Here is a 13961-nt window from a genome sequence, read left to right on the forward strand (position 1 = left end):
CGACAATGTCTTCTGTCCCCCATAAACACTGCCCTCATTTTGAGTTTTTCTTTCCTATGTCTGTAGCTTTCTTCTGCCGCTCAGCAAACACTCTGTCCCACTCGTATTCGTCCCTTGGCGCTGGCGTCTGGCCCAGGGGTACACTGTGAAGGAGGGCAACCCTAGATTCTGAGGGCCCTAGCTCGAATCTAGCGCCCCTCTAACTGCAGGGGTGACCTTAGATACATTTATTAACTTCCTCTGTAGACTCAGGGGAACAACTTTGGCACTCCTGGGGTCCCTGGATTAATGAGGTAACTTACGTAGACTCCCTAAACAAGCGTCTGGTTCATTGTAAGCGCCCAAATGCCAGGGGGCATCTGCAGGGATGACCCCATAGTGAATGAAAACTGCCTCTTGGGGATCTCTGGGTTAAACGGCCAGAATAAATCGCAGAATTGAGAGAACCCTCTCCTGCCCCAAACCTCACTGTACTGTAAATCCCATTCATTGCCTCCCGCCGTTTTATCCGTGTTCTCAGACCACCCCCCTATCCCCGCAACCTCCAGTCCCCTAAAGCCTCCTGGGCGGCAAAAGGACGCCCAGAGAGAGGTTCGGCGCCTCAGTTGCCCCGGAGCAGACGTCCAGCCCCGCCGTGTACCCGATTGCGGGGCGGATCGCGGCAAGGCGGCGGCGGCCGGCAGAATAGGCGCGGAGGAAGGCTCAGGCGGGGCAGACTGCGTGGGGGAAGGAGGAGGAGAGAGCAGACGGCGGAGGAGGGCAGAGCAGCCGGGGGGAGGGCGCAGGGGCGGGAGGAGACACATGCGCGCTGCCGCCGCCGCCGCCGCCGCCGCAGTCCTTAGCTTCCCGGGGACAGGAAACCTTCAAGACCGAGCTGCCACGGCCGCCTCCCCGCCCGCCCCCCATTCTACGCGCCTGCCCACACCCTCCTCCCCTCCTTCCAGCGCCTTTCGGTGGAGCACTGCGGCACTCAGCCCGAGCTGCCGTTTTCCCCTCGCGGGGAACGCTGTGACCCCCCCGCAGGAGCGGCGGGGCGGGGTGGGGGGGCCCGGGAGAAGATGGCGACGCCGGGAAGCGAACCCCAACCTTTCGTCCCGGCCCTTTCGGTAGCTACTCTGCACCCACTTCATCATCCCCACCACCACCACCACCACCATCAGCACCACGGAGGAACCGGCGCCCCCGGCGGGGCGGGTGGTGGCGGCGGTGGCAGCGGGGGCTTCAACCTGCCCTTGAACCGGGGTCTGGAGCGCGCGCTTGAGGAGGCGGCCAACTCCGGGGGGCTGAACCTGAGCGCCAGGAAATTGAAGGAATTTCCCCGTACCGCAGCCCCCGGGCACGACCTCTCGGACACGGTGCAGGCAGGTGAGTGAGGGCCGAGGGGCGGGCAGGGGTGTGGGTGCTGTCTGGGTGTCTGTCGTGCGTTCCCTAACGCGGTGGACAGTCGGAGATCTTGTCTTGCTGGGGGAGGGAGGGTCCATCGGCCCGTTGTCTCCCGAAGAAGGGACTCGCGTGGGCGCGGAAGAAGCGGGCCCTGGAGAGGGCACGGGGGCCCTGCCTGGTCCGGCGATGCAGTGCCAGGAGGGCAGGGGTGCGCCGGGCCTCTGCGCCTGAGAGCGAGGGGTCTCCGGCTCTCCACCCTGTGGCTGCCGCGCCAGGGAAGTAACCGCGGGGCTGGGACTTGCAGGCGCGCCGCGTGCGCGCAGTGTAAGTGGGAGGTTTCAGGCGGCTGTGTCGGCTTCCTGGGCCCCGCGCAGGGCTGGGAACTCCAGCGCGGACAGCGGCGTCGGCGCCTCCAACCAGTTCAAGCCGTCTTTGCATCGAGGCGTAGCCCATCCTGGTGGGGAAACCCAGACAAAGGTGGCACGCCCTCGGCCGAGCCAGGGGCATCGGCGCAGTGCCGCGAGCCCCCTCGGCGACATCGCCGAGCGATCGGGCAACTCGGTGCCGCCTGTGAGGTGCCCAAGTTTCCTCTCCCTGCGCTTGTGCGGGAAAAGAGCCGCCGGGCTTGTAGTGAATCCCAGTCGGCTGCCGCTTCGGAAGCGATCGGCCCTCTTCCTTCCGTGCCTTTTGCTCACCGCCCACACAGTTTGGGTCCTACCACCGAGGCTACCTGGTTCTCAGTTACCCAACCGTTGCGGGGGCCCCAGGAAAGGACGGCGTGGCATATTAAAGGCAAAGTAATTAACGTGAGCCTGTTTTCCTGTGTGAGCCCGGCAAGTTGTAACTCGCGCCAATAAGCAGCATAACTTTTTCAAGTTACGTCATGTGTTACATACTTCTAAAACGTCTGCTTTCTCTTTGGTAGTTGGAGTTCCAGGAGCGGGATCTATAAACAGGAAGGAGGGTGGTGGAATAGGATTGGGGCCTTAGGGTCTATACAGAACTGACTTGGTTTCCGGCCATCCGGTTCCGCTCCCTGGGGGAGGGTTTGTGTCATAGCAAGCGCCCAACATTTCCCAGGGCAGTGGGTGCTCCGTTTTGGAGCCGCTGCCCAGACCTCTTGGCTGTCATCGCCTCATGGCCCAGGGTCAGACCCCCTGGGTCTTGGATGGGTTGACTCTCATCACAGGAGCACCCAGTTTAATCTTGTAGTGGGCAAGGGAGCAGGCAGTGGGTTTTTGGAGGCTAGGTTTCCAGTGTCTTTTCCCCCTTTTAATTCAATAAACATTTATCTAGAGCCTTAATGAATATTTAGATACAGTTCTGAGTTCACTGGAGGCAAAGATGGCTCTCCAGGGTCATTAAACTTTGTAATTTGGATTTAGGGATAGTCAGGAATCGGCAAAAAAGAGGGAATTTCCAAAGTTGAGCTGTCAACAGCTGGGGAGTGTCTTTCAATAAGACCTCTTAGTTACATCTTCTCAAGTGGAACTTATTCCAAGAATTGCCTGAATCACTGACTTAAAAAACTACATTAAATTTTACTTCCCTTCTGCTATAGAGTGTACCGTGAGCTAGCTATGCTATGGTTGGCTATATCTGCAGAAAATAGAGCTGGCATGACTAATAATAATAGGTTTGTGTAGTTCAGTAAGGGGGCTTCATAGTTGTTCTACTTCAGTTATGCTAAGGATTATTTACAAAGTTAGGTGAACTTGATGTGTCTGCTGTGTTGGCATTTCTTTGAGAAGACCAGTGCTTTTAGGGATCACATCTTTTAGCTAAGACCTCGCCATGTGAAGTGGATGCTGAAAGTGTTCTTGTTGGCTTGTTTATGGCAAGCTTAAGTTGTGAGTTTTGCAGGTTTTTATTTATGAGCTCACTTGCACATGTTTTATGCTCAGGAAAATCTAACTGGTTAAAATTCAGAGGCTTTATGTTAATTCCTCATCCAAAAATACAGTATTATTTGGGGGAAGAGGAGTGGAGGGATATTCATGTTTGTAGAAACTTAAGTCAACCCCATCAGAAAAGTATTCATTGCAGCTAGTTATTTTACATGAAATTAGAATACCCAAATGTATTAAATATTTGCTTCTGCAAAACGTCTTTGCCTCAGGTCAAAAGCTAGGTGTAAACCACATGTACTCTTTGTTCTAAAGATAAATTTAATTGAGCACAGTTTCTTATTTGAGAGACCAGAAAGCAAAATAAAGAGTTAAAGTTACCTCCGGTGTACACAGTGTTGACACAGCGTACATGTAAGAGTTCTAGTACAGTTGAAAGTTTGAGTAGTAACATTTATAATAAAGATAGTGGTTTCTCCTTGACTCATATTTACTTTAAGAATGTCTCTTAAAATTAGAATGGCATATGAAGATCCTTAAAGGCCTAAGAGGCAAAGTGGATTTTTTTTTCCATATATTTTCTAAGACAGGGAGTGGTAGAGCAAGCTTTTTCTCACAGTTTTGTTGTATATTACAGGCCATTTGGTTTACGCCTTGTAAAAAGTCAGGCTTCTGGCAGCCACCTGTGCAGAACTGCACCTGGGCAATATAGCCCATCTGAACAGAGTGGAAAACCAAGATGTAAACAAAGAAACATAGAATAGATGTCTAAGCTGTCACTCAAGTGCATATACTTTATTGATAGGAAAAAATTCAAGCTCTCATTTTGAGCCTATTAATTTACTTCTATTTGAATCAAAATAAGTTTTGTTGTCAGAGTCTAGTCTTTTAATAGGTGAAACGGGGAAAGAAAGACTGATCCACGCAGGTGCAGTGAGTGACACAGGTGTCACTGATGGAAAGGGACAAAACAGAAGAGCCACTATCAGCACTGGGTGCGCCTCTCTATGCGTTATCTGCATGATCTTAGTCCCCACTAGGAGCCCAGTCATACCCTCATTTATACATGGGAAGACTGAGACAGAGACAAGTTACATAATATGCTGAAGATTATACCTCTACTGAGATGGTCAACCGGTGATTGGAACCCTGGCAGCCTCACGTTAATTCATGTTCTTGACCATATTCTCATCAAGCAGAGGGAAGGGGTTGAGAGATAGAATCTGGGAGGCTTCCTGGAAATTCATTCAACCAGCATTGATTCCACAAGAATGTACTGAGCCCCTCTGAGTGCTGGCCACTGATCTAGGCACTGGGGACACAACAGTGACCAAAAGAGAATCCCTGTATCCCTTCTTGTGGAGTTCATTCTAGTTGGAGAATAGAGAGATACATGAATAAATTGATTTTGCAGGATAAATAGGATGAGTTACAGGATAGATGGAATATCTTTGTTTTATAAATACACAGATTGCTTTGTATTGACTTCAGGTGGCTTGTAGCAAGAGTATAAATGATGACTAGTAATACATATAATCTGAAGCATAAAATTGGGCCAAAGAAAAACAAGTACACAAATTTGCATATGAGTAAAGCAAATTTTTTTTTTTTTTGGTGCTGATTTATTAAGTAGTGTCGTTTTGAATGAAGAAGTTCAAAAGGGTATTTTGTACAATTAAAAGTGAATTGAAAAGGAGTAAGAAAAGAAAGTGGCTGATTGCAGGAGGTTCTAGAAAATAAAAAAGAAGCCCTTAGACTTGGCATGCAGGACACTTGTTGAAAGTCTTGTTAAGGAAAGTGGGGAATATTTCATTGCTAATTATCTTTTTGAGTTGGCTCTAAGCAGGAAAGACTATGGGCCAGGCACTGTGGCTCACACCTGTAATCCCAGCACTTTGGGAGGCCTAGGTGGAAGGACCACTTGACCCCAGGAGTTTGAGAACGGTCTGGGCAATATAGTGAGACCCCATCTCTACGAAAAATAAAATATTAGGCCAGGCACGATAGCTCACTCCTGTAACGCCTGCACTTTGGGAGGCCAAGGTGGGTGGATCACCTGAGGTCAGGAGTTTGAGACCAGCCTGACCAACATGGTAAAACCTCATCTCTACTGAAAATACAAACATTAGCCGGGCATGGTGGCATGTGCCTGTAATCTCAGCTACTCAGGAGGCTGAGGTGGGAGAATCACTTGAACCCAGGAGGCGGAGGTTGCAGTGAGCTGAGGTTGCAGTGAGCTGAGGTCGCACCACTGCATGCCAGCCTGGGCGACAGAGAGAGACTCCATCTCAAAAAATGAATGAATAAATAAGTAAATAAAATAAAAAATTAGGCGGGTGTGGTGGCGCATGCCTGTAGTTCCAGCTATGCGGACGGCTGAGGTGGGAAGCCCATAGGTTGAGGCTGCAGTGAAAGCCATGATCGCGCCACTGCACTCCAGCCTACGTGACAGAGTGAGACCCTGCCTTAAACAAACAAACAAACAAACAAACAAAACAAAGACTATGTGGGAAACAAAGAGCTTACTCAGGGAAGAATATTGAAGTGCAGCATTAAAAATACCCATTTATGTGTGAGGGAAGAGTTCTGTAGGAGATGCAAAGTATAAGACAATACAGGAATACATGAGATGCTAAATAACAGTTCCAGGAAGCCACTGAGGCCCAAGGCAGGTCAAGGTGAGGTGCCAAGTAGCACTGATGGACATTGTGTGTAGAATTCAGAGGAAAAGGTCATTTTCATGAGGATGCTTAGGAAAGACTTTGATAGCAGAGGTAGGATTTGGATCAGGTTTTGTAGGATGGATAGGATTTAGATAGAAGTGCCTATGAATATTCTGTGATTGGAAGGATGGTGCCAAGACGTGGAGTAAGAACCTGACAGTTGGCCGGGTGTGGTGACTCACACCTGTAATCCCAGCATTTTGGGAGGCTGAGGCGGGTGGATCACTTGAGGCCAGGAGTTCAAGACCAGCCTGGCCAAGACGGTGAAACCCTGTGTCTACAAAAAAAAAAAAAAAAAAAAAAAAAAGCTGGGTTCCTGTAATCCCAGTTACTCGGGAGGCTGAGGCATGAGAATTGCTTGAACCTGGGAGGTGAAGGTTGTAGTGAGCCGAGGTTGCGCCACTGCACTCCAGCCTGGGCGACAGAACAAGACTCTGTCTCAAACAAACAAACAAACAAATGAACCTGACAGTCTAAGATTCTGTGAATAAAAGAAACAGAGAGGGCATTTAAGCCTGTCTTTCTGGTCATATTCTTCTACCCAACTCCTGCCTTATAATGGAGTAAAGGCTACAGGGCTCTTATGACCCTTTAATTGAGGACTCCGGAAATGGCTGAAGCCTAGGATTTGTCAGCCTGTGGGAATAACACCCTAGCTCTGTGTGATCTGGCTCTCTCAAATGTCTGTACAGATTCAAAGGATCTTCTCTGAGATTTGTGGGTGGTTTTATCTCTTGAAGGCTGACTTCCACACCCTATTCCCATCCTAAAGCAATGGAGTCCTTGGGATGTTAGCACTCTTTAGTCGTTGGAATTCACAGAAGACTTGATAACAAAATCTAGTCATTTTCAACAACTTAACTTTATTTCATAATTTTTGCCATCAATATGTTTCACTATAAATATAATAAAATTTTTGAAATCACATGTGTTTCCTTAAAATGTATGTTCTTTTATAGTTATATCCAGTTTTGAATTATCGTTCTGCTATTGAATTAAATTTGGTAGTTTTTAACATACCTGTTGCTTTTTGTGGTGGTTACTATCAGATAAATGCCTTTGTTTATTACATGTATTCTAAATATTCTTCCATTCATAAACTATGATTCATATCCTTTTCTTTCCTATTACTATTGTTTTTTCTTCCCTGTTAAGGTATAGATAAATTCCAACATCAAACAAAAGCTTTTGGAACAACTCAGACAATATCTGTAGTGGTTCTGAATCACGTCTAGATGGGCCCTTCCACATGTCTGTGGTATATGGCAAAAACAGTCTCCACAAACCTACATGCTATTCTCATTGCTTGCATTACAGGCTGCTTTCTTGAAAAGGCAAGGACATACTAATCATGCTTCTAGAATAATAGCATACAATTATAGGCCAGGGAACCTCTGGGAATTTTTGGTCTGTGCCAGTTTATAAAGGAACAGCCCAAGGTTTGACCTTCATCACTGAGATGACTCTACTGGAGAGTTTGTCAGTCACTGCAACATCTGATTTGATTTTTGGTAGGTGTTTGATACTAGGCCACAAATTAGCACACCCTGTCATTTAAAAATTCTTGTTTAAATTATTGACTGAGACTTTTTTTTGTGTGCGTGTGTTACTGTAATGAACTGAAATTTCCCATGGCATGGCATAATAACTCTTTGTAATAAACATTTAAAGGGTAGATACCTTTTGAAATCCATGTTGACGTCGATTAATTCAGAAGTCAAACTTGTTTTGCCCGTGCTGTCCATCTGGTATATGTACATAGACTTTTTCTATTATATCATTCAACTTCATCATTGCTTGTTTAAACACAAGCTATTTTCCTCTTTTGTGTATACATTTCTGTTCCCCCATATATATAGACTTTTTATATTTCAGCTGGGCAGCATTTACTTGCTCTTAATGTCTCCCCATAATTTCCCTTCAGGTGTGGTACTGCATGTGCTTTTTCAAAGCCTTGATAATTTAAATGGCAGAAATGCTATTATTAACTCCATATAAGGTGGTTATGGGTTTGTCACTCAGGCCATGTGTAACTTGAATTTTTGTCTAAGCCTCAGAAAAACCTGTTTGTGAGGCCACTTTTCAGAATTTCTTGGGCTTTTTGGAAAATTGAACGTCTGTCTTGGATATTGGCTTGAGCTTAGATATGGCAATTCCACCAGTGATTATTTCAGTGATTGTGTGAATTGTTAGAATTAAGATAATTTGGTGTTAATTGCAGTGATTATTTCAAGTTATAAGATTGTAATCTATTATAAACGTGTTAAGGATGGAAGGCACAAAACCCAACTATTTTTCCATAGTGAATAATCTTTTTTAATGCCCAACTCATAGGAAGCCTAGCTTCTGTTATTGCTACTAGTCTTTTGTTGCATGAAAGATTTTTGTTTTTGCATCAGAATTTTGCCATGATATTTCAGAGAGTAAGAAAAGAAAAAAAGAAAAGAAAGGTCAGGGTTCCAAGTCAGACTTAATGTAGGAAAACTAGGCATTCTAATATAGACTCAAACATGAAATATGCCTGTGTTATTCTTCATCCTAATTTAAGAGTTTAGTGATATTGCTTCCATATTCTGCAGTAAGAAATAGTACATTTGGAAACCATCTCCTCCCATAAAGTAATTCAAAAATAAAGTGAGATTGTTTACATGAATAGAAAGTTGATGAACTGTGAGAATTGGGGCTTCCCTTGCTTACTCCAGCCATGCAATAGAAGGGAAATGCTTTTATAGTCAGATTTCTGTTCACTGTTTTTCCTAACCATATCCTCCTTCACTGGCCATAAAGGAGGATATAGCTGGAGAAAAAAATCAGAGAAGAACAGTATGTTTGATTTGCATAACAGAAATACTTCATATTTTGCTTGGTAAGAAATTATTGCTTCTCTGTTAATATGATGCTGGTGCTGAGGCAGCTCAACTGACTATACCTGAAATTCTTACCGAACATTTTTAAGTAATCGGGGACAGGTTATTTGATTTTGGGATCTTCCTAGATGTTTGTTTTTCTTCCTTCTGCTGTTTGCTTTTTTCCCTCAGTCCCTCTGCTGGAGGGGGACCTAACACAGGTGTGGGATGAAACTGAGCAGGAGCCTTCTAGCTCAGTGTGTCTTGAATTTCCTTTCCACTGTTCTTGCCAAATGGGCAGAAAGTGGCCCCCATCTTAGTTTTTCTAATCTTCTGGCTTCTCATGTGGACTTGCTTTTGACAGCTGACCCCTGCAGTGTGGTATGTATAGCTTTGGCACACGATGTGTTCCTCTGTTATTCTTCCCTATTTTTGATGTTTATGCCATACAGCGTGAGGAGTAGCATCAATATTTCTGATCTGGTTCAGTCAGCTTAGCTCTGATTTAACTACTTTATCTCTGCAGGCAATGGTGGCAATTCAAAGACAGCACCATCAACACACTGCTTGGCTTGCCCTTCCTCTGGATTGCCTTCATTTTGCTTTTCCAAGTCATTTACCTCATGTCCCTTCTCCTCCCTGTTCTGTAGGATTCTACTGACCCCACTCTCATTTCATCTGGGCCCCCAGCCTGTCAAAACAAACAGCCTCCCTATCAGCCCTTTCTTGCAGATGTCAGCACTGAATCATACATGACCTTAAGCCATCTTTGCATTATTTCCTTATGGCATTTTTTGTTTTATTGCCTTCCTCTGATACTTTCCCTATGTTTAACCTTTTTGCTCCTTCACTGGCCTGTGAGATTTGGCTAGACGGGACTTTTCCTGATTTTTGTATGGCTTCCATGCCCAGGACAGAAAATGCTAGAAAAACATTGATGGATTACTCTCTTTCCTCTTTCCTACACTTGGTCTCTGCATTTTTCATCCATCATCTTGGATCTACCCTGAAGTTATCCCCTACTTGTGCATAGTTTGCTGATCTGCTCAGATTTTCCTGTGAGAGCTGATTTTTCTCACATAGCCTCTTTTTACTTCTCAGTGTCATCCACTGTATTAGTCTGCTAGGGGCACCATGACAATATTCCTCAGACTGGGTGGCTTAGACAACAGAAATTAATTTTCCCATAGCTCTGGAGGCTGGAAGTCCAAGATCAAGGTGTCGGCAGGTTTGATTCTCCTGAGGCCTCTCTCTTGGCTTACAGGTGGAGGTTGTCTTCCTGGGTCTTCACAGGCCGTTCCTTTTTATACACAAATCCTTGTTGTCCCTTCCTGAGCCCAAATTTCCTCTTCTTATAAGGGTATCAGTGAGATTGGATTGGGACCCACCCATAGGACCTCATGTAATCTTCATTACTTCTTTAAAGACTTTGTCTCTAAATACAGTCACATTCTGAGGTGCTAGGGGTTAGTGCTTCCATTACTTTTGGGGGTCATAATTCAGCCCATAACGCCCACTGACTCACCCCTGCTGTAGCTGGTAGCTGGAGTTCCTCCCCCAGCCTGTGTAAACTGATCTTGGACTTGTGTGAGGCTGCCCTCAATGCTGCTCTTGCAGGAGGCCCAAGACAGGTCTGTTTGTTAACCATCCTGTCCTTGGAATCTAGCCCTGCACACACTAGCTACACCTGCATCCACGCTGAGAGTCCCAATAATGCTCCTGAGCCCTCGAATGTGCTGTAAAATGGTAAGAGAGCCACATATACACTTACAAATGGATGACTCCGGCTCATCTGGACCCCTCCTCCATCTCTCATAGACTTAGAATCTTTTCGGTGGTTGGTGGGTCCCTAGAGTCACACTTTATTTTTAGCTAAGGTGGGGTCACTTCTCACCAACATTTGCAAGTGTTCGATAAGCAATGTTACATCTAAAATCAAATGAGTTATAGTGAATTCTGAGGGAGATGGGCAGGTGTTTTATAATATCAAATATTGTTTGAAATTAGCAAATGAAAAACTAATCAATATCTTTTGAGCACTTATTGTGTAAGGAGCATAGCCAAAAATATAAAGGCATAGTTCCACCTAGTTTGAATTGGATGAGGATTAAAGAAATTATGTATTTGAAAGTCCCTTACACATACAGTACTCCAATTAACAAGTATTATTTCACCAAAGCCTTTCAGCCCTTAGCCAAATGGAATTTCTTCCTTTTTTTTTTAAGTATAGCTTAGTGATTAAAAATAGGGTTTCCTGAGCTTCAAAGACCTGTGTTCAAATCTTGGCCTTGTTGCTTATAAACTATGTCACTTTGGCCAGATGACTTAAACCCTATGCATCGGTTTCCTCACCTGTCAAATGGAGATAATAATAGTATGTACCTAGTAGAGTTGTCATGAGGACATTGGTTATAATAACAACAGCTAACATTAGCAAGCAGTTATTCTATGTCAGGTATTGCTCCAAGTGCTTTATATGCAAATATATGTATTAAATGTATGTAATAGATGTTTCACCTCATTTAATGCTTGCTACATGGTCTGTATTAACTAGAGTGGGGGCTCAATAACTCCAAGCAATGCCTTTCTATTGCAACCTGAAGAGGGAGATTAGAAATGTAGAAACCATCCATTCATATCTCTCCCTCATTTAATAGCTGAGGACACTAAGGCCCAGAGAGTATAATCATTTGGCCAAGGGTACACAGCATGGCAGTAGGTGCCAGAGCCAGGGCAGAGTCTCCCAGGCTCACATCAAAGGGTCGTTTCTGTGGAGCCAGGAGGTGACATTGGGATGAAGGGAAGGCTTTCCCTCATCCATAGGGTTCTCAGGTCAAACCCACCCAAACCAGCCAGGTTGTGGGCCTCCCAAAAAACAAAAAAAAATGGTGTGAAACCTTTAATAACAGATGGTCCAAACCTGGGGAGAATAAGATAAAGCTAACGGTAGTTACAGATGAGACATGTTAGTGTAGGATTTGACTGCATGTGGTTTGAGGGACATGCACAGGCCTCTTGTCAACTGGATTCCACATACTAAAGGAGTGTGCTGGGCAGCCCCCGACTCACAAACGGGGCCATCAGCCTTTCCTAGCAAGGCTTTGTTTCAGAACTTGGCATGCATTTTCCTATAAAAACAAGGTGGTAACCTGTGATTTGGTTCTCCCGCCAACCCACAAAGCCCTGTTTAACCCTAGCAGACCTGGGCCTTCTTATTAATGGTGGTTTCTTATTGTTTCTTTGGAAAAATGCAATCCCAGTTCCAACATGAAATCCCGAATCTGGAGAACTTGGCATCAGGCTGTGAATGAGGCCCCTGCCTCTTGAAAATAATTCTCTCCCCTCTGGCCATTCCGGCCAGGGGTCGGAGGTTCCCCACACCTCTCCCAGGTCCCTTGATCAGGGCACTCAGCGGCTGGGAAACAAGGGTTGGCATAAGTCAGGGATCCACTTGGACCTCAGGAAGGCCACTGGGCCAGGGAGGAATAGGCCGGGGAGCCACCCACCTGAGGGAGGCGTGCAGGAACTTAGACACTTCTCTATTTAATTTTTATATTTCTTCTGTATTATCTCCCCAACTTACTAATTTTGGAATTGGAAGCAAGTTAGTGAACTTTTCTGAACATCAGGTTTGTAATTTGTTAGAAGCGAAAATGCTCTTTATCCCTTGGGTGGTTGTATAGATTCAAAGGGTAATAGATAGCACAGGAGCAGGGCTCAGGTCTGGCAAACAGTGAGTGACTAGTAGAAAACCTGTCACTTTCTGTCCTTAATTTCCATGGGGCTATGTGACATAGTCTTCTTCAGTCACGTAGATAATTGGAAGCTGTCAGCCTATCATTAGCATAGAGGCTAAAGCACAAACTGTGGCTGGGTCTTTGTCCCTGCTCTGCCAGGACATGGCTACTACTTCACTTCCCTGAGTCTCAGTTTCCTCGTCATAAAATGGGGATAATAATTATAGAATTATTGTGAGGAACAAATGAATACATATGTCAAGTGCTTAGGTCAGTGCATGGCACTGATTTTGCCATTATGATTATTCTGTATCTTTAGAAAAGAGAGTCAGTGTTATAAGGCACAGAAAGACTAAATTCCTAGAAATGCTGTGACATTAATAAAATAACATCAGTATCCAGCAAGCTTGGGTGTACATGCTTTCAGTGTGTGTACATGTTATTTATATCCTTTCGGCAGTCTTGGGAGGATGGTAGCATAGGTGGTATTCATTATTCCATATTGCATGGGGGGAAACAGGCTGGATGGTGAAATGACTTTCCTTCGGTTATGCTGCTAGTCAGCAGTTGAGACAAGACCACATCTTCTGGGTTTTCATGCTGTTTTTATTCCTCAATTCAACGGTGTTCTTAGGTTTGATTTAATTTCTGCTGGGGCCGGGTGCAATGGCTCATACCTGTAATCCTAGCAATTTGGGAGGCCAAGGTGGGTAAATCACTTGAGGCCAGGAGTTTGAGACCAGCCTGGCCAATATGGTGAGACCCGTCTCTACTAAAAATACAAAAATTAGCTGGGTGTGGTGGTGGGCACCTGTAATCCAAGCTACTCAGGAGGCTAGGGCAAGAGAATCGCTTGAACTGGGAGGCGGAGGTTGCAGTGAGCTGAGATCACGCCATTGCACTCCAGCCTGGGTGACAGAATGAGACTCTGTCTCCAAAATAATAATAATAATAATAATAATAATAATAATAATAATGACAACAATAATTTCTACTGGGACAGAGGAGTCTTGAGGGGACTGAGTCTCGCAGAGAAGAGTGTGTTCAGGTTTCTCACAGTAGAGAATGGGGAACCCTATTCCTGTGCCACGTTGTGTATTCAGGTGAAGGGTGCTGGGGCCAGCTCTTGTTTTGGCCTCCAGATTGGAGGGGTGAGGAAGTGGTGGCTGGGGCCTCAGAGGAGGGCCTGGGGTGCCTGTCTTCAGTCTCTACGGAAGTCTTGTCATTGATTTAAAAGCTCTTCCAAGTTAAAAAACAAGCAAACAAATAAAAAACCATTGACAGTCTCTTCATGTTCTTGGCAAAGAACAATTTATGAATAATTTTATGTTCTTGACATGCTCTGAAGATGAATAGCAAACACTTCTACCAGAAGTGAAGAAATGGCTACTAGGAGGCTGAGCTTTAGGAATAAATATATAGTAG

At 45.2% G+C, this 13961-nt stretch overlaps 1 protein-coding gene across 5 annotated transcripts in view, besides 4 other annotated features; it reads left to right on the top strand.

The window, feature by feature from the left end:
* Positions 776 to 965: a silencer, noted in NCBI's record as "silent region_5322". NCBI's record gives its function as "represses an Ori minimal core promoter by ATAC-STARR-seq in GM12878 lymphoblastoid cells {active_cell/tissue: GM12878}" and the evidence as "EXISTENCE:reporter gene assay evidence [ECO:0000049][PMID:35858748]".
* The window catches only part of LRCH1 (leucine rich repeats and calponin homology domain containing 1), a 199872-nt gene continuing 186742 nt past the window's right edge, over positions 832 to 13961 (top strand). For all 5 annotated transcript variants that reach the window (XM_017020483.2, NM_001164213.2, NM_001164211.2 and 2 more), the window contains exon 1: positions 832 to 1365. In XM_017020483.2, the coding sequence (XP_016875972.1) occupies positions 1059 to 1365 (307 nt within the window). In that variant the 5' untranslated portion in view covers positions 832 to 1058. The remainder of the gene's footprint in view (positions 1366 to 13961) is intronic.
* Positions 1026 to 1085: a silencer, noted in NCBI's record as "silent region_5323". NCBI's record gives its function as "represses an Ori minimal core promoter by ATAC-STARR-seq in GM12878 lymphoblastoid cells {active_cell/tissue: GM12878}" and the evidence as "EXISTENCE:reporter gene assay evidence [ECO:0000049][PMID:35858748]".
* Positions 1289 to 1989: an enhancer, noted in NCBI's record as "H3K27ac hESC enhancer chr13:47127762-47128462 (GRCh37/hg19 assembly coordinates)". NCBI's record gives its function as "activates a minimal SCP1, AML or CMV promoter by ChIP-STARR-seq in primed H9 embryonic stem cells {active_cell/tissue: H9 hESC(primed)}" and the evidence as "EXISTENCE:reporter gene assay evidence [ECO:0000049][PMID:30033119]".
* Positions 1646 to 1965: an enhancer, noted in NCBI's record as "active region_7704". NCBI's record gives its function as "activates an Ori minimal core promoter by ATAC-STARR-seq in GM12878 lymphoblastoid cells {active_cell/tissue: GM12878}" and the evidence as "EXISTENCE:reporter gene assay evidence [ECO:0000049][PMID:35858748]".

The sequence above is a fragment of the Homo sapiens genome, chromosome 13, assembly GCF_000001405.40.
Source record: "Homo sapiens chromosome 13, GRCh38.p14 Primary Assembly".
In the NCBI taxonomy this organism is placed as follows: domain Eukaryota; kingdom Metazoa; phylum Chordata; class Mammalia; order Primates; family Hominidae; genus Homo; species Homo sapiens.